At 36.2% G+C, this 26,047-nt stretch overlaps 1 protein-coding gene across 1 annotated transcript, besides 5 other annotated features; it reads left to right on the top strand.

Annotated features, from left to right (window-relative positions):
- Window positions 172–737: an enhancer, noted in NCBI's record as "NANOG-H3K27ac-H3K4me1 hESC enhancer chr1:145096155-145096720 (GRCh37/hg19 assembly coordinates)". NCBI's record gives its function as "activates a minimal SCP1, AML or CMV promoter by ChIP-STARR-seq in primed H9 embryonic stem cells {active_cell/tissue: H9 hESC(primed)}" and the evidence as "EXISTENCE:reporter gene assay evidence [ECO:0000049][PMID:30033119]".
- Window positions 172–803: a biological region, named in NCBI's record as "NANOG-H3K27ac-H3K4me1 hESC enhancer GRCh37_chr1:145096155-145096720".
- Window positions 264–393: an enhancer, noted in NCBI's record as "active region_1600". NCBI's record gives its function as "activates an Ori minimal core promoter by ATAC-STARR-seq in GM12878 lymphoblastoid cells {active_cell/tissue: GM12878}" and the evidence as "EXISTENCE:reporter gene assay evidence [ECO:0000049][PMID:35858748]".
- Window positions 425–26,047, top strand: SEC22B (SEC22 homolog B, vesicle trafficking protein). Its single transcript, NM_004892.6, has 5 exons — window positions 425–638; window positions 7,996–8,105; window positions 13,575–13,735; window positions 16,415–16,561; window positions 19,753–26,047. The coding sequence occupies exons 1-5, from the start codon at window positions 564–566 to the stop codon at window positions 19,905–19,907; spliced, it is 648 nt and encodes a 215-aa protein (NP_004883.3). The 5' UTR covers window positions 425–563; the 3' UTR covers window positions 19,908–26,047.
- Window positions 434–803: an enhancer, noted in NCBI's record as "active region_1599". NCBI's record gives its function as "activates an Ori minimal core promoter by ATAC-STARR-seq in GM12878 lymphoblastoid cells {active_cell/tissue: GM12878}" and the evidence as "EXISTENCE:reporter gene assay evidence [ECO:0000049][PMID:35858748]".
- Window positions 738–1,303: an enhancer, noted in NCBI's record as "NANOG-H3K27ac-H3K4me1 hESC enhancer chr1:145096721-145097286 (GRCh37/hg19 assembly coordinates)". NCBI's record gives its function as "activates a minimal SCP1, AML or CMV promoter by ChIP-STARR-seq in primed H9 embryonic stem cells {active_cell/tissue: H9 hESC(primed)}" and the evidence as "EXISTENCE:reporter gene assay evidence [ECO:0000049][PMID:30033119]".

Here is a 26,047-nt window from a genome sequence, read left to right as displayed (position 1 = left end):
AAATAGACAAAAATCTTTGTCTAGAAATATATAAATATAGAACATTTTATAGAATATATGACATAGAAAACAGAAAAAAATAAATATGAAAATAGCCTAATTTTCAGGGTTTTCCTTTTTTTACATACCCTTCATGGTTAACGGTTAGTGGTTAATGGGGATTACCCATTAACTCCCACCCTCCTTCCCAGCTCTCTCCCAAGACTTAGTTTCAGGAACTAGAAAATTCTGATTCAGCTTGGGTGCAATGGCCGCTCAAAGGGCGAGGCTTATTCGAAGCCTCAAATTCAGAAAACCCAGCCAGACCTTGGAAGTTAAGAAGGTGGAAGGCAGATCGCGGAACCAGTGTTCTGATAGTTGTGGTTCTCTGAGGGAAGCCAATTCTGGGGACCGGTAGTGGAAAGCTCTTGCGCTGTTTCCGGCCACCTCAGCGGGAAGCGGAGACGCAAGCAGCTGGATCTCCGGTAACTGAGACATAGGGTATAACTGTTGTCGCGGCGGAGGAAGTGAGGACGGCGCCAAGGGCCTTCCGGGCCAGTGTTGGATCCCTGTAGTTTGTGAAGATGGTGTTGCTAACAATGATCGCCCGAGTGGCGGACGGGCTCCCGCTGGCCGCCTCGATGCAGGAGGACGAACAGGTGAGCTGCTTACTCACGACCCGCGACCCCAAGTCTCTGTCAGCGCGCTTTGCCCTCAGCATCGGATTCCTTCCTAGGACCGGGAGACCTTTGTGACTTCCCGGGCACTCCCGACCTCTCTGAAGTGCGCTTTTATCTTTTGGTGTAGGAGAGACTACCGGCGAAGAGGAAATCTTTCCTGAAGGAGGAGTTAAGTTTTTTGTGTTAGCTGTTTCTCTTTAGAAAAACGCTCTGGAGAAGTGGTAGCTTTGGTTGATTGTGATCACCCAGTGTTCTTTGACTCTTTAGGGACTTTGTTAAAATTCAGGATTTCTAATTTTCTGCTGCTAATAGGACTGCTGATGGATAAATCCTGGGAAAAAATCAGCCAAGTTCTTCAAGTCTATAACGTGGCACCTGATCCTTGACCTAGCTTGCTGACATCTTTTGAAAGTGGGTGAGGTAATATTGCCACATAAAAGCACCTGTTAAATTTCAGTACATCACATTCTTTCAGGATTATCCCCAGTTCCCACCTTCTCCAATACGCCGTACCACATTCCTGCAATACATTGTAACTTATTTTTTTCTTTGTCTTTCAATAACTTGAGTTTCCTAGCGGGCAAACGACGGGTCTTAATCATCTCTTTGTTATCCATACCTTTTACAATAGCTGCTTTATGCTAGTAGGTGCTCAAAAGTATACTGAATTGATTAAAAACAGCACTAACTCCAGATGTCTTAAAAGAAAGATGTTTTGTGTTTTAGAAACACAGTGGAAATTTCTGAAGTAAGACAAGTTTCTGGAGCAAGCTTGGGAGGTTCTGAAGACAAAGCTGAGAATGGAATTTATATAATTTGTTTAAAGTGATCAATTTTATTTTACTTTTCCATACAGTCTAAGTAAAACCTTGAGCCTTAAAAAAAGATGAGATATTGAAAAAATAGTTTGCACATTTCTTCTGTTGGACTTTTCATTCATATATTAATGCAAAAAATTTTTACTGAGCACATCAAATGTGCCAGGCATAGTGTTAATGCAGGGAGTTAGAGTACACAGTCTCTACCTTTGTGGAGCTTACAGTCTAGTGGAAAAATCAGATAACCAACAAACTATTAAAATGTAGTTTAACTGCTAAGGAGAAGGAAGAGGGTTTTGTGCTTGAACATGGAAAATATATCTAAGTTGGTTTTAGGAAATCAGGAAAGTCTTCCCAGAAGGTATGACACTAAGGTAACAGTAGGATCCAGTAGTAAGGAACTATTATTCTATTTGGTTATATGCCTTTTTAGGTTTGATTTGGAAATATAGTTACTTTCACTTTTAGGAGAGTGGTGATACAGATAATAAAGTTGCAGGTCATGCTAAGTGAAATATATTCTATTCATTACATAAAAACAAAGTCTAATCTTTGAAATAAACCGTGAACAATTTAACATACCCCGATTTGCTAATGTGAAATGTTTTTCAGGAATACTCTAGGACCATCCTGCAGAAGGAGTGTAATTGTTCAAATGAACCTAGGAATATGATTTGAACAAAGTAGATAGTGCAGGGGAATATCCTTGAAGGATGTGTAGTTTGACTAAAAAATAGTTTTCCTACAGTGGGTGGCTGTGTGTTGGGGGTAGGGGGGATGGAATCTGGTCAATTTTTAAATTATTGCATTGAATTCCAGTGTTAGCAAAGAATACAAAGTGAACTTGAAAGTCTACTTAATATTAGTGGCCCCTACTCTCTGCCATGATACTTTATTGAAAAATTAATTGATTTATTGTTTTTTAATTATAAATTTGGTATTGGTTTCATATTGGTTTATCAAGATGGGATGCTTTGTTTAATTGACAAGGAAAGAAATTTTACACACAAATATTTTTGTGATTGTAGTGCCATAGTATTTTCCTTTAGGAATTTTGACTTTGAATAATAAAGTTTGCCTAAACTTTTAATGTCTGTAAAGATCTGAATCTTAGGCTTACTTTTACTATTTTAATAGTATACAGAACATTTATAAAAGCGCCTACTACATACCAAACACTGTGCTAAGCCTATTAAGTTCATTTTTTTATTTAATCCTCATACTACCATATTAGAACAGGTACTATTAAAATCTCCAATAATAGATAAGGAAGCTCTGAGGCTTAGAGAGGATAGATCACTTGCCTAAATTCACAGCTAATGAGTGGCATAATGAAATTTTTCATCAGGGTTTTTCCCCTTGGCACTGTTGACATTTGGGGATGGATAATTATTTGTTCTTGGGGACTGTTCTGTATATTGTGTAGGAGGTCCAGCAATATTCCTGGCCTCTACCCTCTAGATGCCAGTAGTACCACTACCCTTCCCCACTTTGTTTGTTTGTATGACGACAAAAATATTTCTAGACATTGCTAAATGTCTCATGGGGGCAAAATCACCCCAATTGAGACCCAGTGGTTTTTATTAAGTTTTTGTCGACTCAGACAAAAACTTAATAACCACTGTACTTTAGTGCCTAACCACTGTACTTTACTGCCTTGTTCTAAGGCCTTTTAATGATGTCTTACCTCTTAGGAGTCCAGGAATAACTTTTTAATAAACAGATATCTCAACCAAACAGTTTTATATTTAATCACCTTAATTGTCCAGGCCAGATAATTCAATGTATTTTCATTTTTGTATGTTTTTGTTTTCTTATCAGTGTACTTTCAGTATTTACACTGATAATAGATATCATATTTTAGGTATTTACTAGGTGCCTGTACAAGCTGCCATATTACCGAAGATGGACAGTTATTCAGATAATACAATAGAGAGTAAAATTTACAAAATAATGTAGACAGAGTATTTTATACAGGGTGTTTCCTCTGTGTTTAACTGAAAATTTAGACTTAGGGCAGGAAGAGAGATGAGCTTTTCTTCTCAAATGTGGACTCCCTAACTGATACCCTGTTTATCTTTTTTCCTCATTCCTTTTATGGCATGTTTCTCCTTTTAGGATTTTTGCAATTTCTTTATCTACCTTTCTGTTCTGCCTCAAAATTATTGTATTTTCTTTCATTTTCCTCTGGCATCGTGAAGGGCAGTCCAGACTTGAAGAAAGTGTTAGATCTCACCAAATAGGCAGCAGGAAGCTCCAAGAAAGCAGATAGATAACATGTTATACAGTTAAATTGTCTCACGCTCCCAATCACTGAGGGTTGATTAATCCACTTACTGTAACTGCTTTTAGAGGAAAGTGGTTGGTTCTTGGTGCTGCTGGTCTTTGACCAGCTGAGTTCAGTGGGTATTGATACCCACTGAACTCAGCTATGAAAATGATAAAGAGCTATGAAGGCAAAAGTTGTTATTGATACAACTAGTTGTTCAGCAGTCTTAGGTGACAGCAACGAAAAGTATTGTGGTTGTGTGTCTAGTTACTACCTTCTATCTTTTGTAATATATAGATCCAAATCCTACATTTGCTGTTGGATAACCTCAAATTTGTTTCACAGTTTTTCCAGTTATTCTGATCCACTGCATTATTGGATTACTAATAGATATCTCATAATTATATCATATACAAATTTCATTAATCTTTTCTAGATGAAGTAGAAAACACAATGAGGATATCTAAATATTTTTAGGTGGACTGGCTAACTGTGGGCCCTTTGTGACTTTGATCTTGAAAGCAAACTAAAGGTCAGTATGTAAAACAGTGGTTAGGTTGTTTTGTGAGATCTAGATCAGAGCTGCCCCATGGTTTCTTGAGCATTTCCAATGAGTTAGAATTACATAGTAAGACTTCACCTAAAAGGTGGATCTACTATTGAAACAATTTCAATTATAGAGTTAGGGTAGCATAATGCTTAGGAGTAGGGGCTCCAGGGCCAGATTGCCTGCATTCAGATCCTAGTTCCTCCCTTTTTAGCTTAGAGGCTAAAAAGTTTGACTTCTCAAGTAAAAAATTGACATAATAATTCTAATCACCTCATGAAGAATAAACGAGTTAAATAATGTAAAGTGTTCAGAACAGTGGCTGGCAGAAAGTGAACACTTAATAATTTCATTTGATCATTTCTGAAGAATCTTTTCTAATTCCATCTTGCCTTTCTTTTTTTTTTTTTTGAGATGGAGTCTCACTCTGTTGCCCAGGCTAGAGTGCAGTGGTGTGATCTCAGCTTACTGCAACCTCCGGTCCCCAGGTTCAAACGATTCTCCTGCTTCAGCCTCCCGAGTAGCTGGGATTACAGGCACCTGCAACCCTACCCGGCTAATTTTTGTATTTTTAGTTGAGATGGGGTTTCAGCATCTTGGCCAGTCTGATCTTGAACTCCTGACCTCATGATCCACCTGCCTTGGCCTCGCAAAGTACTGGGATTACAGGCGTGAACCCCCATACCCAGCCTCATCTTGCCTTTCTTAAAGGTTCACAGATCAGAATTGCACATAATCGATACACTGGATGCAAATATGTAATGAATGAATGATTTTTCACATTACAAAATTAATTTGTGCATATTGTAGAAAGTTCAGTAAATACATAAAAGCAAAATGACCAAAATGTTAACAGTGTTTATTAACTATAATCTGTACTCAAATTATATCCATTTTGGTGGATGACCTTAAACATATGTATGTGTGTATAACATTAAATAATAGGTAATACCGTAAGACTGTTTCACCTAATTTTTTCCACTTAACAGTGTTTAATGAATATTTTCTCATATCATTAAACTCTATACAGCATTGTTTTAATGGCTGCATAGTATTCCATTGTATGAATATGCCAGAAAGATTATTATTTAACCATGAAGATTGTGCTAGCATTGTGTTCTCGAGGATGGTAATGCTAACTGAACCAGCATGGTAAGGTGTTGGTTGGCATACCATAATCCCTATAAATACATCCCCAGTGTTGTATATTGGCAGTCTTTACATTGCTGTTTGCAAATTCCTGAAATTGCAGAATGCTTTTGGCCAGTTTCTTATAGTTGATACAGTTGTTAGTCTTTTTCTCAGGTTACAGTAATGTTTACAGTGCCTCTTGTAAAGTCAAAGGATTTGTACCAATCTGAGTGGCAATTTTTTCCATGTTTCTTCAACTAGTCCTTTTAAGATTCTCACCTGCCTTTAGCAAAGAACATATATTTAACACCTGTGGTTGCAGTTATGTAAAAAATACCGATATCACAGCCCCACCTCCGAGATGCTGACTTAATTGGTTTGGTGGTGGAGACTGGGCATAAGTAGTTTTGTTTTTGAGATTTCCCCAAATGATTCTATTGTGAAGCCAAGGTTGAAAATCACCGATCTATGTTGATATTATTTCTTGGCACTTGAGCCAAGAAATAATAAAAATATTTCTTTTTTTTATTAAAGAATTTTAAATTAAATTAAATTTAATAAATTAATTTTATTAAATTAAAGAAATTTGCATGCTTTTTATCTACTCTTGTGGGTTCAGATCTCTTCAGAATGGCACTGGGGAAACAAAAAGATTGGTAAGTACCATTCAAATTTAGGAAAATAGAATATTGTGCACTAGTTCTTATTGGCTAAAAGCATATGACAGTATTCACTCTTACTGGCTGGCCATATATTAGTAGTACTGTTTAATATGATAATTTTGATATAATTATTATAAAGTACTGTTTAATATATAAAACTGTACATACATACAGACATACATATGTTAATATAGAACTATTTCTCAAATATATAACAAATATATGTCAATAAAACAAATAATTGCCATAACAGTGGTATTAAACAAGATAAATCTACAAACTAATACCTCAACTGGACTCTGCCTATCTCCCCTGGTTCACCTCATGCTTATTCACCTTCTTATTCTTATTGAAATTTCCAGTTCACCATTTTTACATATAGCTTAGAATCTTATTATCCTGTAATTGTACATTTGCTGATCTGCCACTTTATCATTTTATTGTTGCTTCCTTGTTTTTATTATCAGCTTAGCAGTACACTATCTACAATTTTAAGATATCACTTTGTACTTTATCAAAGTTAGACCTCAGATCCTGGGAGACCCTAGCATAAATACTTTTCTACTTAAATATTTAGTTATTAAACATCTGCCAAAGGGAGGCTATTCTTTCTATGTAAAATAAATAATTCCAAAATAGGATTATTTCTTTGCATCACATGGCAGTGTCCTAGTCTGGTTTACTATACAAAATACCATAAATTGGGTGGCTTATAAATGACAGAAATTGATTTTTCTAGTTCTGCAAGGTGAAGATCAAGCACCAGCAGATTTGGTGACTATTGAGGGCCTATTCCTGGTTCATAGATGTCACCTTCTGGCTGTTTCCTCACATGGTGGATGGAGCAAGCTAGCCCTCTGGGGTCTCTTTTATAAAGGTACTAATCACATTCATGAGGGCTCTACCCTCATGACTTAATCACCTCCCAAAGGTCCCACTTCTTAATACCATCACTTTGGGGGGTTAGGATTTCAACATGAATTTTGTGGGGGATACCAGCAAACATTCAGACTATAGCTGGGTAGCTGGCAGAAAGCTCCCCTACCCCACATGTGGATGGAAAAACAATGTCTATTTGCTTCCCATTCTTCAGGCACTTCCTTTCCCTGTTGGATCTAGTAGATTGGAGATGCATGGTTTTCTTCTTTTGAAATGACACTGCTGGTTTTTCCAGTAGATTTGCCCCCTCTTTTTAACAAAAATAATTGTAAAAGCAGTTAGAAATTGTTCAGGAAAATATTACCTGTAATTATAACATGTGAATGCTATTATTTTCATTTTTGTCTGCATATATCCCTCGATATTCAAACTTTTGCTGTCCAAACTTGGGAACCAAATAGATTTCTTCAGTAAAGGGTATCTGACATCCTAATCTTTGTCTCTACCCTTGGTCATTTTTATGTAATTGCAGTCAAAGTGTTCGTAATAATTTGCAGTCACTAGTACACACATTTAGTTTTGTTTAAATGCTAAAAACTGTAACACTTGTGGAAGGTTCTGCTGGATATTCCAACATAAAAATGAAATTCACCAATCTTGTTCCTAGGATATTCCCCTGAGTATAGCACATGCTGTGTAGTTCTGTGCCAATAACTGCAAATGAAATGGGTTAGGAGGAGAGTACTGTCCTAATAGTGGAAAGAACACTGGATTGAAAGTTAAGAGTGCTTAAGTGTATTTGAGGTATATGCTTTTGCTTCTTAGCAAATAACTAATGCGATCATCTTGAAGAAGTAGGGGTTAGGTCTTCCTCTGTACTCTGAAAGTAGGTTGTCTTTCCTCCGTTAAAATGAATCTTACTTACCTGTAAATGAAGGACCTCATTCAGAGTGTCCTCATAATATGATGCTTCTCACTAATTGATACAGCATTTTGTGGAAAATTCTTAAATGAAGATGTCTTCTTTCAGTCTGGCCGGGACCTTCAACAATATCAGAGTCAGGCTAAGCAACTCTTTCGAAAGTTGAATGAACAGTCCCCTACCAGATGTACCTTGGAAGCAGGAGCCATGACTTTTCAGTGAGTGTAATCTTGATTTCTTTATGATCATTTAAGTGAAATACAGTAACAGAATGCCTGATAAAAAATAATAATTTTTAAAAAGTAAAGATTACTTAAAAATGTTGTCTTTTGGGAGGAGCAACTTCTCTGGCTCTAATTCTACAAAATGGACATCTTGTTGGTTTTTTCAGCATGCTTACAGTAATTTAACCTGTTAACATGTGTCTATGCTGTGCCCATCATGCAATAATAGATAACTTCTTGCTTTAGGACTGTCTTGGAGCCAGATATGTGTAGGTTAGTACCCTTGCTCAAACATTTCCTAACAGTGTAACTTTGAACAGCTCACATAACTTCTCTAAGCCTCAGTTTCCTCTATAAAGTAGTGAAAATAAACATAGGAGGTTTGAGAGGATTGTGAGGGAATCTGTGTGTATTACTTAGCATCTTGTCTGACACACATGGGAAGAGTCAATAATTATTAGTTATTATTATTTTGAAAAAAGAAAATTATAAAAGATAAGAGCATCTTAATCAGTGGTTATAAATGATACAGCTGATAGAGGACTCAAAGGAACATTATTGGATTTTAAATTATCTACAAATAATTGGTATTTAATGTTTAATACATGCCAAGTTTGAAGCTGACAAAATAGGAAGGATTAAAAAGGAAAAGAGTACAAGAGCATCAGAGGAAAATAAAAACGGATTAGTTAAATAATCTTTGCCATTTTAGGGACTTAGATAGTAAGATAACTTAGGCCAGGGAGGAAGCTGCTATGTTTACTTTTAAAAAACAAAACAAAAATTCTCTACCTATAAAAGACAAGTAAAAAGTACATCAAAACAAAAATAAAACCCTAGGCAATTGGCTAAGAAAATGTTGGACATTATGTTTTATGATGTATTAATTTTTATAATATCTGAAATATTTTCTAGAACTCTAATTTTCAACACCAAAAATAGTCACTCACTTAATATCTAGTATCCTCATTTTCACCATGGTTTAGAGAACCAAGACCTAGGAAAGTTCTCATGGAATTGAGAAGAGATTTTCTTCTGCCTGATTCCTTTAGGACATTCATAATCTCATATCATCCTTTATTTCCATCCAAGAGCTATTAAGGGTTTATTCTTTGCCAGACCTTATATTGAGTCCTGCATTTAATGTCCATACCTTTTAACACTGTTCTCTTAGTAGAGAGAGAGACATATACTCAAACAAGTATACTATAATATCTTAATTGAAAAGATGTTGTAAATTAGATTTAAATGAAATGTTTTGGGAACAGAGAGAAGGAAGGAACAAATTCCCATTTGTAGGGGGTAAGTTTGAAGAAACGGGACAGAGGAGGGGAGTATATATAAAGAAGTTTCACAGAAAAAATTATGGTAGAATTGAACATATGAAAATGAACAGGATTTCTCCAGGTATTTAAAAGAGCATTAACGGTTAGAAAAAACAATATAAGCAGAAGTCCACAAATATGTAAAGAACCTAGCATGTTGGAGAACAGTCCGCCATTTGGTTTATTAAAATATATGATAGAATGTTGCTTACACTTGTTTTGAAAGGCTGTAAATATAATACCATGGAGTATGATTTTATTTTGTAGGTATTAGGGAACCCTTAGAGTTTGTAAGCAGGGTAATATGGTCATCTGTAGTCTCTGGGAATAAAACTGATGGTATAGAAGATGGTGTAGACTAAAAGCAAAGAGACCAGTTAACTCAGGTGCCCAAGCAAGGAATAAGACAGCTGTATTATTAATATTATTTTAAGGGGCCTGAGAGATCATATAATAGTCTTTATCCTTTATGGAGCCCTAGGATGCCTCAGGAGCCACATAGAAAGGGCAAGGATGGGAGTATATATAATGCTTTGGGCCCCTAAACTCCTCCTTATGTTTTAAATTTTTCCCTTTTATTTTCAGTTGACATGTAATAATTATACATATTTATGGGATACAGAGTGATATTTCAATACATGTATACAATGTGTAATCAAATCAGAGTAATTAGCATATTCATCACCTCAAACATTTATCATTTCTTTGTGTTGTGAACATTCAAAATCTTGTAGCTTTTTGAAAATACGTGGTAAGTTATAGCTAGCCATATTCACCCTACAGTTCTGCAGAACACCAGAACTCATTCTTCCTATCCAGTTGTAATTTTTTATCCATTAACTTGCCTCTGCCCATCCTCCCCTTCTCTCTACCTTTCCCTACTTCTAATACCCACAATTCTACTCTCTACTTCCATGAGCTCAAAAATTTTTTTTGGCTCCTACATATGAATGAGAACATGCCATATTTATCTTTCTGTGCATGACTGATTTTATTTAACTTAATGTCCTCCAGATTTATCCATGTTGCTGCTAATGATAGAAATTCATTCTTTTTTATGGCTGAATAGTATTCCATGGTGTGTGTGTGTGTGTGTGTGTGTGTGTGTGTGTAAAAAACACTTTTAAAATCCATTATTCTCTTGATGGACATTTCTCTTGATTATCTATCCATAGATATTATGAATGGTGCTGCCGTAAACATGGGGGTACAGATAAGTTTTTAACATAATGAGTTTTTTTCCTTTGGAGAAATACCCAGCAGTGGGATTGCTAGATTGTATGGTAGTTCTGTTTTTAGTTTTTTGAGAAACCTCCATACTGTTTTCTATAGTGTATAAAAGTTCTCTTTTCTCTTCATCCTCAACAGCATTTATTGACTTTTGTCTTTTTAATAGACATTTTAACTGGGGTGAAATAATATGTCGTTGTGGTTTTTATTTACATTTACCTGAAGATTAGTGATGTTGAGCATTTTTTCATATACTTGGCCATTCGCATGTCTTTTGAGAAATGTCAATTCTGTTCCTTGCCTACTTTTTAATTGAATTATTTTTGGTTTTGCTGTTGAGTTGTTTGAGTTCCTCGTATGTTCTGGATATTAGTTCCTCATCAGATGAATGAAACTAGATCCCTATCTCATCATATACAAAAATCAACTTAAAGTAGATTAAAGACTTAAGCATAAGACCCTAAACTATAAAACTACTAGAAGAAAACATAGGGGAAATGTTTCAGGACATGAACCTGGGCGAAGACTTTATGGCAAAGACTTCAAAGCACAGGCAACAGAAAAGAAAGTAGACAAATGGGACTGTATTAAACTAAAAGCTTCTGCACAGCAAAGGAAACAACACAGTGAAGAGACAACTTGCACAATGGGAGAAAATATTTGCAAACTCCTACTTAAACTAAAGAACCTCTGATTTTATCTGATATATACATTGGCCTTCTGAATATGTTTTGCTTGTTATATATACATATTCCATATATAAATATATATATTTGCATGTGTGTGTATGTATACTATGGCTAAAAAGAAGTTGGAAAACCACTTAGTAGCCTAACATTTTTCTAAGAATTTCTCAGATGTGTAATCATACAGCCCCTTCCAGAGTGCATGGGCGCTCATCATCACAAAAGAAAGTCAGTTCCATTGTTGATAAGTTTCCAGTTGATTACAGAGTTCTCCTGGACTGTAAATTAAGGAGTCTTATTAGTCTTGTACCCAGTAAACATTATGTCATTAACCTTACATTTCTATCCACAGAAATTTCCAGTTACAGTGTTTTCCTTTGTGGCTGGAAAGAGTTTAAATATGTGTATGCTAGTTTACCATATAGAATCAAAGGGTGGATGGAGTCACAACTCTGAATTTTTCAAGAAAAAGTCTTAAGTATTAAGCAAAAAACAACCCCATTTAAAAAATGGACAAAAGACATGAGCAGATATTTCTCAAAACATACTAGAGGCTAGCAAACTAATGAAAAAATGCACATCACTAATTATTGGAGAAATGCAAATCAAAACCACAATAAGATACCATCTCACAACAGTCACAGGGCTATTATTAAAAAGTCAAAAAACAACAGATGCTGATGAGGCTGTGGAGAAAAAGGAATTGCTTATACACTGTTCGTGGGAATGTAAATTCAGCCACTGTGGAAAGCAGTTTAGAGATTTTTCAAAGAACTTAAAACAGAACTACCATTAGACCCAGCAAACCCATTAATGGGTTTATATCCAAAAGGAAACAAATCTTTCTACCAAAAATCATGCACTTGCATATTCATTGCAGCACTATTCACAATAGCAAAGATATCAACCTAGGTACATGTTAGTGGTGGATTGGATAAAGAAAATGTAGTATATATACAGTATGGAATACTATGCAGTCATAAAAAGAAATGAAATCATGTCCTTTGCAGCAACATGGATGGAGCTGGAAGTCATTACCTAAGTGAATTAATGCAGGAACAGAAAACTAAATACTGTATATTCTCATTTATAAGTTTATAAGCTAAACATTGGGCACTCATGGACATAAATATACTGAGGACTTACTAGAAGAGGAGGGAAGGAGGGGGCAGGGGTTGAAAAACTATTAGGTAGTATGCTTAGTACTTGGGTGACGGGATTGTTTGTACCCCAAACCTCGGCATTATGCAATATACCCAGGTAACAAACCCGCACATATACATCCTCAAGCTAAAATAAAAGTTTAAAATGTTAGTTGAAGAATTGTGTAATGGGCTGGGTCCAGTGGCTTACACCTGTAATCTCAGCACTTTGGGAGACTGAATTGGGTGGATCGATTGAGGTCACGAGTTTCAGACCAGCCTGGCCAAAATGGTGAAACCCCATCTCTACTAAAAATACAAAAATTAGCTGGGTGTGGTGGTGGGTGTCTGTAATCCCAGCTATTTGTGAAGCTGAGGTGTGAGAATCACCTGAACCTGGGAGGTGGAGATTGCTGTAACTGAGATCATGCCACTGCATTCCAGCCTGGGTAATCTGGGTGATGGAAAGAGCCCTGTCTCCAAAAAAAAAAAAAAAAAAAAAAAAGAGAATCTAATGGATGAAAAATTATAATAAATATGTCTAAATACTCCTTTTAGAATATACGGCTAATAGGCTGGGTGCAGTGGCTCACGCCTGTAATCCCAGCACTTTGGGAGGCTGAGGCGGGCGGATCACGAGGTCAAGATATCAAGACCATCCTGGCCAACCAACGTGGTGAAACCCCGTCTCTACTAAAAATACAAAAATTAGCTGGGCATAGTGGCGCACGCCTGTAGTCCCAGCTGCTCGGGAGGCTGAGGCAGGAGAATGGCTTGAACCCGGGAGGCGGAGGTTGCAGTGAGCCGAGATAATGCCACTGCACTCCAGCCCAGGGGACAGAGCGAGACTCCGTCTCAAAAAAAAAAAGAAAAAAAAAAGAATATACATCTAATAATGGGAAGATGTTTGCTTTCTGATTCCAAGGATTTGCGGTTTTAAATTGACTCTCGTTTAGCCAGCCTCAAAGTATTTAGGCTAGATTTTTTAAAAAGTTTGCATGGTACAGAGATTCTGCTTTAAACTGTTGTCAGTGCTATTACTTTACAGATAACTTTGTCTTGCTTTTTATGTCTCACCAGCTACATTATTGAGCAGGGGGTGTGTTATTTGGTTTTATGTGAAGCTGCCTTCCCTAAGAAGTTGGCTTTTGCCTACCTAGAAGATTTGCACTCAGAATTTGATGAACAGCATGGAAAGAAGGTGCCCACTGTGTCCCGACCCTATTCCTTTATTGAATTTGGTAAGTTTTTGCCCCTCACTTCTCTCTATCAAGGGAGCAAACAATATGGAGAAGCTATTTGTTACACTGATATAATATTTATACATTTTTTCTGATGTTTACTTGCTGAAGTTTTAGCTTCTGCATCCTTTTCCATTCCACTTCTTTTTGTCTTTTTGAGTGACTAAGGCTTTGTTCTGAAAAGTAATTTTCTCTAGTCTTTTGATCTTTCCCCCATAGAAATTGTTGCCTTTTGCCCTTTCTGTTATTTGGTTTGATTCTTCTTTAGAGTCACATGTGACAGGAACTGTGCCTAAAGATCTACTTGATTGGCATATAATGGCTGAGTTCTTCTTTACCCCAGTCCACAGACTCACACTCACAATAAGGCTCATTTTATGGAGATCAGAATTGGGAAATCAGAAAGAATGATGTTTTGTTTCTTTTAGTAGAATAAGATCCTCTAATTAAAAAAACAAAACATAACAAAGAAATAGAAGATACCTGGTACTCATGGTATTGGGGTATAATATTTACTACATTCAGGAATAGTGAGCATAGGTGTCTGTATTTGTGCAAGAATTATAGAAAGACTAATTACTAATCAGACCTGGTAAAGTATCTGATGGTAAGGGATCAAAGGAAATGTCCTAAGTACAGTAAGTACAGGGAGTGAGAACAAGTAGGATCAGGCTATATCGCTGAAATTTTTAGTTAAAAGAGAAATTGGTTTTACTGGCTTAGAATTTTTGAAGTGTTTCAAGTTTGCTAGATAAATGGGTCATCTTGCTTTGGAAAAACACTCTAGTGTTTCATAACTATATACTCTCCAAGTGCTGCTTTATATAATGTCCAGTTTTTCAAATTTTATTTTTATAGACAGTAATACTCCCATAAACCTCCCTCAAAAATAAGACAAATGTATCAGGGTCATACAGGAAACAGATGGCACACCCAAATTAGCTTAAGGGATTATATACAAAGATATGACTAGGCTGTAGGAGAATTACAAGGTACAGTAACCTCTGACCAGTAGCATACTGGTTGTTACCATCCCTAGGCCTGAATGTATAAGGGGGAGGAGCAGTTTCTGAAACTGAAAAGGAGAAAATTTCTAGAGAAGGCCAACTTGAGAGGAGCGTAACTTTTGGTAGAGGGATACTTCCAGAAGAAGGTTATTTCCTTCTCTGAAAGAAGCCAGGGGAATAAATACCCGGACATCACTCACTGTCTGTTCTCCTTCTTCCCTACTGTTGGGGCTTCTTCATTGCCTGAACCTAACTGGCACAGAGCAAGGAGTCTTGAGGCGCTTCATCCAAGTCAGCTTCCCAGTGCAGAAAGCAAGGTGCAGGAGGGCAGAGAGGAGATCTAAAGAGGCAAATGAAAGGGGTACAGCACACTTAAATTAAGATTTTTGCCAAAAGTTGAAAATATCTTTAATAATAAGTCATTCTTCCTATAGTTTTGAGAAATACTGATATGAGCAAAAGATGGATGAGACTTCAGTTTTTATTTATTTATTTATTTACTTAGAGACAGAGTCTCGCTCTATTGCCCAGGCTGGGGTGCAGTGGCATGATTTTGGCTAACTGCAACCTCTGCCTCCTAGGTTCAAGTGATTCTTGTGCCTCAGCCTCCTGAATAGCTGGGACTAGAGGTGCACGCTGCCATGACCAGCTAGCTAATTTCGGTATTTTTGGTAGAGATGGGAGTTTTGCCTTGTTGGCCAGGCTGGTCTCGAATTCCTGGCCTCAAGTGATCCACCCATCTTGGCCTCCCAAAATGCTGGGATTTATACGTGTGAGACACAGTGCCTGGCCGAGACTTCAGTTCAGTTTTGTATTGGTATTTTGGAAAACTCCCTATTACATATTTGCTTTACCTGAGGTTTAAGAATGGAATGAAACTGGGAATGTATATTAGAGAAAAGGTAAAGTTTCTCAGCTTTTTAATGATCATGAACCCTTTTGCCATGTTAGGCTGTAATAATGCTAGAGTGTTACCAGCATCCTTTTAAGGAATGTGTAGAGGTAAGTAACACTTAGCCTAAGGGTCCTCAGAATACTGTTTGAAAATTTCTGTTTTCAGGAAAGGCTTACTATAGTGGGTCTTAATTTCTCTAAGGATTCTGATAGCAGCCTTAGATAGCAAATACTTCTAATTCAAAGGTATTCAAAGGACATTTCTCCTGAATGGTCGTCTAATTATACCTTTACATCTTACAAATGAAATAATCAAAGCCTAGATTTTGATATTCAACCAAGAGTTTGGTTAACCATGGACAGTGGCAAATCCAGGAATAAACTCAGAACTGTTTTGGTTTTTTTTTTTTTGTTTTTGAGACAGAGTCTTGCTCTGTCACCCAGGCTAAAGTGTGGTGGTGGTGTGATCTCGGCTCACTGCAACCTCTGCCTCCCAAGTTCAAGTGATTCTCCTGGCTCAGCCTCCTGAGTAGCTGGGATTATAGGCGTGTGCCGCCACGCCTGGCTAACTTTTTATATTTTTAGTAGAGACGGGGTTTCACTGTGTTAGCCAGGATGGTCTCGATTTCCTGACCTCATGATTCACCTGCCTTGGCCTCCCAAAGTGCTGGGATTACAGGTGTGAGCCACCGCGCCTGGCCAACTCAGAACTTTTAATCTCCTACCTCAGTACTTTGATGGCCATGAAAGAAATGGTCAGTTTTCTTCATCATTCTAGATACTTTCATTCAGAAAACCAAGAAGCTCTACATTGACAGTCGTGCTCGAAGAAATCTAGGCTCCATCAACACTGAATTGCAAGATGTGCAGAGGATCATGGTGGCCAATATTGAAGAAGTGTTACAACGAGGAGAAGCACTCTCAGGTATCTAAAAGCAATGAGTCTTATGAAGAAATGGTTCTCATTCCATAGACAAGGATAGCTTATTTTGCAGTGCCTTTTATGCTATTAGATTCTACCTAGAACTGTTAAGAATTTATCTCCCAGAAGTACATTACATTACAATGCTTCCAATATATTTTTTTTCCTAGCATGATTAGTTTTTGTTGAGTTGGAACAGTGTAAAGGACTCATCCATATTAGAAGCAATGATTATTTCTAAGATATTCACAAAATTAATTAAATTATATAACTTGTATAAATTAAGGGAAATGAATGAGAGAAAACTCAATGATGTATTGCAGTGGTTTTTTGAGTAGCCTCTTTGGGAGACTTTACTGCTGCCAGATCAATCTTTATAAAATGCCATTTTCATCAAGGCATTCCTCTGAAAAACTTTTAAATCTGGGACTACAAGATAAGATCCAGTCTGACTTATTTTTCCGTCAGTCAGCCATTGTTATTGAGAGCTTGTTATTTGTAAGGCATTGTGCTCTACATATGGAAAATAAGGAAGATGCAAATGTCTGTCATTCTCTAGTTCACAAACATTCTTCTGTAGCCACACCAGCTTCTTTACTATCCTTAGTGGTCTATTCTGCCTTATGCTGGACCTGTTCTGTAAGACCTCCATAAGAACTGTCTCTTTAAAGAACCTTTCTCTGATCCTTATAGCCTGTATCACATTAATCTCTTCTGTACTTTAAACTCCTAAAGCACTTAATAACATAATGGTTTTAGCACATATTACATGTATGTGTGTTTACCTAATTTACCTTAAATATATTTATTAAATACCTCTTACCATATTAAATATATATTTAATATATATTAAATATATTTCCATATAACATAAGTATATATTTCATATATTTATATTAAAGTAGGCAAACATATTTGGATAATTAAATATTTTTATATAATTTCGTATATTTTTTTGAGACAGAGTCTTGTTCTGTTGCCCAGGCTGGAGTGCAATGGCACGATCTTGGCTCACTGCAACCACCATCTCCTGGGTTCAAGCGATCTTCCCACCTTATCCTCCTGAGTACCTGGGGCTACAGGCATGTGCCACCACGCCTGGCTAATTTTTGTATTTTCTTAGTAGAGATGGGGTTTTGCCATGTTGTTCCGGCTGGTCACAAACTCCAGGGCTCAAGCAATCCACTCACTTCAGCTTCCCAAAGTGCTGGGATTACAGGCATGAGCCACAACACCCAGCCCTTTATATAATTTTAAAAGTGTAGGTAATTAGGTAAAATTAGGTTAAAAGTATATGTATATTTACCTGATATTTAAATATTACCTAAGTGTTTAATGTGGACATGTAAGCTCTTTAAAGATAGTGCTTATGTATTTTATATCTGTTTCACATACTCCTTATATATCCCCCACAGAAATGGTCACAAATAGGTTCCTTAATAAGTATTTTTGAATTCAGCCATGCTATATATTCATTAGTAAGTGAGTTTTCTTTTATTATGAACTACAAACTTTAACCTTTTTTTGAGTAGTGAGCAGTTATTCATTTACCTTCACACTCTTTAAATACCAAATTTTGAGTGAGTGAGTGTGTAAGGTTTTGTCATACAGACTTGCAATTCCTATATGGGATAAAGTAGACTAGCACAGGAATTTTTCTTGTATCACTCATGCAAGACTCTAAATTCCTTAAAGGCAGGGATCATGTATATTTTGATCACTGTTGTATCCTCAGCACTTCACATGGTGCCTGTCACATAAATATTTGTTAAATGACTTCTCCAAGCAATAGCTTTGTCTTTATGTTATCCTGTATTTCAAAACGTTCATATATAAATTCTCTCAACTATGACTTGTTTCATAGGGTCTAATAATTGTTCCTCTGCTGAGTTATTCTCAGCAGATTTAGATTCATTTAGCAAATGTTTATTGAGCACTAACTATATACCAGGCCCTGTTCTGGGCATTCAGGATATAGCAGCAAACACAATAATTTAAAATCCCTGTCCAGTGAAGTGTATATTCTTGTAGGCTCTGTAAAAAGATGCCCTGTGCATTGTCATGGTTGTTTCTCAGTCCCTGACTCTTCTTCCGTGACTAGATGTTTTTCTTACTCATGTGATCAGTTGCTAATTCAGACGTGGCTGTCATGCCTGTGTTATTAAGTAACGCCATGTTTCCCAATCAAAACCAGTCTCTATTAAGCAACTCCAAATATTCCAAAAGCATTCTTTAAGGAAGAAACAACCGGATTGCAAAATAGTTTTTTCTGAAATTTCAAGAAGTGAAAAGTTTGATCAGAATTTATTATGTCAAATGGAGAGTTTGTGTTTATTATTAAAATATGCCTTATATTTTAATATGGTCTAGCTTGTGTCTATCTGGCTATTTCTCTAAGTGTTTAGTTAACTGTTATAAGAAGATAACAACATTACAAATGTCCTTGGGGGTGAAAAAACTTGCCAGAAAATACTAAAAAGCTTAATTTACTTGCGTTTTTTTTTGTAGTACTTATTGTATTTTAGTTACAACTTTCCTATGTCTATTGAAATATAAATCCTGATAGCTTTAACTTCATAGTAGTCTCTACTATGTGGAGAATCTTAGAAATGTTAGCAGTCATCATTGAAGTATAGCTTAAGACTGTGTTTGGTTAATTGAATTTTCTGGTTATCTGAGTTTGTTTTACATGGGTTATCATTATCGTTTTTCAAAATATAAGAGAATATGATTCAGACCATTAGAAGATTATGAAGATAATAATTATTAACATGTAATAATTATTATAATTTATCATGTGCAGGCATTGTTGCTCACTTTACAGGCAATCTCATGTACATACAACTTTATGACATAGTTACTGTTATTATCCCCAATTATAGATGAAGAAACTAGGTTTTAAATAGGTTACATGACTTGACCAATGTCACATAACTTGTACAGGTGATATCTGAACCAAAGAGTCTGAGGCCAGAACCTGCACTTCTAACCACCTTACTATATAGCCTCAAAAATTCAGACATCATCTGATCAGCATCATCAGTTAATTAGTATATGCAATGTTAGCCTTAAAATAAAAATGATGATTTAAGATTCATGGTTGTTGCAGTGCTGCTCATTTTGGTTTGCCTTAATACTTTCGGTAAAATACTTCCAGGGACTAATTAATGTTTTCCTTTTTTCCTCTTTGACAGCATTGGATTCAAAGGCTAACAATTTGTCCAGTCTGTCCAAGAAATACCGCCAGGATGCGAAGTACTTGAACATGCGTTCCACTTATGCCAAACTTGCAGCAGTAGCTGTATTTTTCATCATGTTAATAGTGTATGTCCGATTCTGGTGGCTGTGAAATAATGAATACAGTCACTGGTAAGGGAGAACCTAGAACCCAGTAGGTGTATATTTTCAGGAAACTGAGCTCACAGAGATGTGTATTAGAATCCAAGTGGAACTTCTGCCTCTAAAGACCTTGCAAGAAAAGAGATGCCCTGAAAATGAAAGGTTGCACCTCATTTAATGAAGCTTAACCCTATGTAGAAAGTCTCTTTCGGGGGCAGAGGCTTTCTCTGGGTGCCAAGCCATATATATTAGGGAATAGTAGATTGTTAATTTCGTTTTTTCCCTCCCAGTGCATTTTAAAAACAGCACTGGCTGGGGCATTCTCATTCTCTGATGGAGCCATCAATGAGATTTAACTTAGTCAACCTGTGCTAGCAACATTCTGAAATTCCTTCAAAGAAGGCAGTCCTTTGGGAAGGTGTTTTTTTTTTTTTTTTTTTTTTTGACTCTAATCAACATTCCTTTTGTTGGTGACATTTGTGATTTTCAGTAATCTGAGTTTTTGATGGCCTTTTAAACAAGACTCCAGTATGTGAAGGTTAATTGCTGTGCTCCACAGATCTTGTCTATTGGCCCCTGTAGAAAGTTAACCTTTGTTGTTTTCCTTTTATAATTTGCTTATTGCACAATTGCTTTAGGGTAAGTGAATTATATTAAGATGCCTTGAAATTATAGCACTCCTTGATTAAGAAGCTAAAATGTTTCTCTCATTTACTCCTTAAACAAAAGACTTAAATTAGTTTGGGTCATTATTACTTTTATTTTGCAGCATTTGGTTTGTTATTAGCGTAAGAGCAAGTATAGGATATGGAGAGGCCCCTGGCTTCATGAGAACAAAGGCAGGCCCAGGTTATAATTACAGCTTTCTCCTGCCCCTTCTTTACTTTCTCTACCACAGTTTTCTCCACTGTTTGTTTTCCTCTTGCCACAATTTGCTAACATTTAAAAAATTTTCCTGCACCCAGTAGTTTCATATCCTGTAGACATCCTCTTAGGACATTCTCAAATTTCAAAATAAAAAATATTCATCTATGTAGTTAATTAAAGTTAAAGTTTTTGCAGATCAACTACTCAAACTACTAAATACATTTACCTGAGAAAAAGTCTCTGAGAGCACTTCATTCCTGTTTTAGTTCGTGTAAATTCTCTGAGAATGTTCTGGAGATAGATAACTCATTTACAGTGGTTTCTATTAACTAATTAAAGTACCCATGATTTTTTCCTTTTCTGCTCAGGGATGATGGAGATTTCCTTTTACCTTCTGAGGTAGAATTTTTTAATGGGGAAAATAGGCCTTTTAAATATTATTGCCAGGGTCTGCAATATAACTTAAAATTCCTGTACATACTGCAAATATTTCTTTAAATTGCACAGGAAAATGAGCGAACTTTTTATTTCTTAATATCTTTGGCAAAAAACTTTAACCAGTAAGCAATTTTATAACCCTGAGGGATCATCAAAGATACTATCCTGATTCCTGGTAAGGAAAAATATATTATTTCCTTATAACAAGGCAAGGAGAAATGCTATTTTATTCCTGATAATTTATATAACTAGAATAATTTTTTTCCTTTCTTTTATGGACCTAAATCTGCCAATTGGGAATTTTGTGCATGAAATATGAAGTTACTTTTTATAGATAATCAGTGCTTTTAAGTCCCTAAAAGGCTCCTGCTGAAGTAATGATGATGTTAATAATAAAAGCCTTTGAAAGGCTGAAAACCTACATAGTGGTACCATAGTATTTGGAGCTTCTATAGGAGTGGAGAGGGGCAGCTCATTGTTGAGAGTTGCATGCTGCAACCTAATGGTCAGCAATGAAATAAATACTTGTAGAATGTTCACTTCAGTGTGAAGTTTTGTTATCTAGTTAATTTATATACATATATCCTTTGTAGATACATTTCTATCTAATCTTGTTGGGCTAATTAAGAAATAAGGGGTGGGGTAATTGTCAACAAAGGGAGAAGAAAGTGGTTTAAGATCAGGGCAGCAGAAAAATTAGAGAACAAGAATATCATAATATGGCTCCTGGTTTTCTTTATAAGAGGCAGTGGGAAGATCTGACTAGATGAAATGTATCATCAACCAAACTGGCATCTAAAATAGAATGGGATAAATACTGTATGGGGTTATTGGAGGCATATTAAGAAAGGACACCTAATTTATTTTGGGAAGAAGTATGTTAAGAGAAGACTTTCTAGAGAAGGAGAATGGGGCATTCTAGGAAGAGTCAATGGCATGTGCAAAGGCATGAATAAAGACAGTGAGGCATATTTTGGAAATGTAACAGCTTGATTCAGCTTAGCCCATAGGGTAAGCATAGACAACAGAGGAGACTTGAGGAATGAGAACTAGATGGGTACACTATCATAAAGGGACTTGTCTATCATGCTGAGGAGTTTAGACCATCTTAATGGTAGTGGCCAAGGATGGCATCAGATTTATAGTTTCAAGTGATCATAATATTGGCATAAAAGATATATTAGGGAGGAAGCCTGAAGTAGGGAGATGAAAATAAGGAGCCATCAAAGGCAGAATGAAACTTAGGCAGATTTCAAGTGATTTTCAAAAATGTTGTGATCAGAGGTACCAGATAATAACTATTACATAACACTTTCTTTGTTAGGAGCTTATTTCTCACACTGACCAAAGCTTTTGAAGTAAGTACTCTTTACACCACTATATAAATAAACCTTACAAAGGATTCTGCTTTGAGGCATGAGAGAGTTAAGTCATTTGCCCAAAGTCACAGAGTTAGAAAGTAATAGAGCTAAGATTTGAACCTAGGCAGTTTGGCTCCAGAGTCTGTGCTCTTACGCTATATTACCACCAAGAGGTCAAATAAATACCAAAGAATGTATTTTCGAATTTAACAATGAGGAACTTAATCATACAGGCAGAAGTAATTCCAGAGCACTGGAGACAGAAGCCAGATTGCCATATGGGTTAAAGAGTGTGTAAACCACTAGGAAGTAAAGACATAGAACTACTCTCACAAGTGCTTTTCTGGTTATTGTGACGCTGAACTTCATGGCTTGTTTTAATTAAGACATCTTACAAGTGTCAAAATTTGGAAATATTTGGACACTGTACACTCTGGTTATTTAAATATCTAACAATGGTTCTTGAGCATTTTGAGAAACCTTTGAAAATCTGATGAAAGGTATGTGCCATTACTCTAGAAAAATGTTCCTGTGTACATGCACATCAAGTATCACATACTGTTTCAGGCTGTTCAAAGACTACAAAGTCTGTTCATGACCTAATGGTCCATGTTCCCTCAGTTAAGAGCTCCAGAGATAAAGGATGTGGAACTCAAAGGTAAGTACCCAGAGCCTTGAAAACTCCATCTGTGACTTGGAAGAATTCTACAATTTGAATTAACTTTGTGGAGAGAGATATATTTTTGAAAAATTGTGTGTACCAAAAAAATTTCATATCAAATAATATTTTCCTGTAGTGCATTCAAGGATCTGGTTCCACAGCAAAAAATTGTTTTGGTCTCAGTTCCTCAAAATCACATTTAAGGAGCTTGAGATTTATATTTTCTACTTAATAAGTCTTACAAAAGCAAGTTAAGAAGGAAAATGGACAATCATTTCTGCACATATAGGGTTTAATAAAACATGTATAATAAAATATCTCATATTTTAAATTTCCACCTTATTGGTAGCTTTCATGACAAAGGGCTAGGGTGCTGATGGCCATACAATTAAGGTTTTTGGTTAGTTAGTTAGCAGAACTAACTGACTCCTACCTGGTGGGTTTTTCTTTTGTTTGGTTGGTTGGTTGGTTGGTTTTTTCCCAGATGGCTCAGGAGGAAGGTAAATAGCAGTCATTGTATGTGTGACAGAGTTTGAGATAGAATGAGCATATTGAATCTCACATCCTATTCTTATTACTGTCAGGCAGCGTTGACCTAGCAGTATAAAACTATCTGAAGCAATGTAGTCACTCAGTTCTCATAAAGTTTATTTCAAGTACTGTAACAATTCATGTTTGGATTAGAAAAGTCACTAGAAATTTGACTTCCATATAGTAATCTATACTTTTTTCTCTCATTTCCTTCATTTTTTGAGCCGTAAGTGTAAGGCATTTTGCTGGTATTATTACAATGGTTATGAGGAGTTTCTTTGCTTGCCCAAGGTCACATAGCTAGCAAGTTAAAGTAGATTCAAATCCAGGCCTGCTAGATACCAAATTATTATTTAAGAGTACTTTTCACTACTCCTAAATAATGACACAGATACGTTTGTCTTACACATTTCACTTTATTGTCAAGTTATTAGTATGTTTATTTTCAAAAGTTATTTTTTGCAATTTCTTTTTATTATTCCGTACTTTTTAAATTTACTTCATTATCACGTCTTCCTTTATTCTTTTTAAATAGTTTTTGCTTTTGTTATTTTGTTTTCCCTTTTTTACTCTTGGTTTGTAATACCTCTTTCCTTATTTGCTCCTTTCTCATTTGATCTCAATGTTAATCCAACTGTTTTCCACATCTGATTCACTAAAATTTTAGCCCTTAAAAAAAAAATTCCTGTTTTTCCTATCTCCTTTTGTCCATTCTCTTCTCCTTGCCTCACTTCTTTTATCTTTTTCCATTTTACTTTCATTTTTTGTTTCTCTAGATGTTGTTTTGACATATGAGTTAATGTACTGGTACAATTTTGCATCTGTAAATTAGAGCTTCAGAATCAACTGAGTGTATTTATTCTTTATTTTTAGGCCTAAATTTATCTTACCTTTTATTGATTTTATAATATACTATACTCTTTCATTTTAGTCTGCATATGTTAGCCAAAGAAGATATGCCCCTGTTTTAAGAAATCTCTGTAAAAAATGTCAAGTGTGACAAGAATTCTTCAAGAAACAAGCTCCTCTAGTTTGTCTTCTATATTTAGAGCTTCAACAGTTACCTATATTACTGGTAACTCCCAAATATACCTTCAAACTTGTTTTTTGGGCCCAAGTTTTTTGCTTCATATATATCTGTTTTGAATATCCCATAAATAATTGCATCTAAAGCATACCTCCACTCCATTGTTCTCAAAGATAAAACCAAACCTGTGCTGCTTCTTATATTTCTAGTATTTAAGCGTCACCTGCCACCCCTTTACCTGAGCTACAAGTCACGCATTGCATTAGACTCCTCTGCTTTCTTCTTTCACCTCTAACTAGACTATTAACCAAAAATTTTTTAATATAACTTTCAAAAGGTATTTTATTACATCATTTCCATCCTTTATGTTTGGGTTCAAGCCCTCATTAACTTTAACATGGATTCTTGGAGTACCCTCCTTACTGATTTTGTTACACATGTCCCTCTTTTAGTCAGTACTACCATGATAATACCATGGATAATAATTTTTTCATTTTTATTTTTAGTCTTGCTCTGTCGCCGAGGCTAGAGTGCAGTGGCGCGATCTCAGCTCACTGCAACCTCCACCTCCCGGGTTCAAGTGATTCTCCTGCCTCAGCCTACTGAGTAGCTGGGATTACAGGCACCTGCCACAGCTCCTGGCTAATTTTTGTATTTTTAGTAGAGATGGAGTTTCACCGTCTTGAACTCCTGACCTCATGATCCACCCTCCTCGGCCTCCCAAAGTGCTGGGATTACAGGCATGGGCCACTGCGCCCGGCCAATAATTTTTGTGTGTGTGTGTGCTAATCATACTACATTTTCTTTAGAATAAAAGATCACATACTTGTTTGCCATTCGCAGTCTGGCCCCATTGTGCCATTCTAGACTTACCTCCTGCCACTCCCCACCAGCTTTGTTTTGTCTTAGCCACACAAAATAATCTAGCGTCTCTAACCAGTCAAACATTTTACCTTGTGCCTTGGCTCACTCTGTGCCTTTTCTCCAGAATATCTTTCTGTGTACTTTTCTCCCATCCTTTTACCTTTAAACCTGCTGCTATGGTTTGCATGTTGTTTGGCCCCTCCAAAACTCATGTTGTAGTTCAATTGCCAATGTAATAGTGTTGGGAGATGGTACTTTTAAGAGGTAATTAGGTTGCTAAGATGGATTAACATCTTTCTCTTGACACTGAGACTGGGTTCTCCTGGGAATGGTTAGTTCCCAAGAGAGTGAGTTGTTATAAAACAATGCTGCCTCTTCTATTTTGCGCTTTTTGTTTGCAC

The sequence above is a fragment of the Homo sapiens genome, chromosome 1 (assembly GCF_000001405.40).
Source record: "Homo sapiens chromosome 1, GRCh38.p14 Primary Assembly".
NCBI lineage: Eukaryota > Metazoa > Chordata > Mammalia > Primates > Hominidae > Homo > Homo sapiens.
Note: the sequence above shows the minus strand (reverse complement) of the source record. Positions and strands in the feature narration are given on the sequence as shown.

Bases quoted from the DNA above. Each gene is read 5' to 3' on its own strand.
- SEC22B (NM_004892.6), top strand. From the start codon at position 564: ATGGTGTTGCTAACAATGATCGCCCGAGTGGCGGACGGGCTCCCGCTG. The intron at 639-7,995 runs GTGAGCTGCTTA...GTCTTCTTTCAG, and splicing joins CGATGCAGGAGGACGAACAG to TCTGGCCGGGACCTTCAACA. The intron at 8,106-13,574 runs GTGAGTGTAATC...ATGTCTCACCAG, and splicing joins GCAGGAGCCATGACTTTTCA to CTACATTATTGAGCAGGGGG.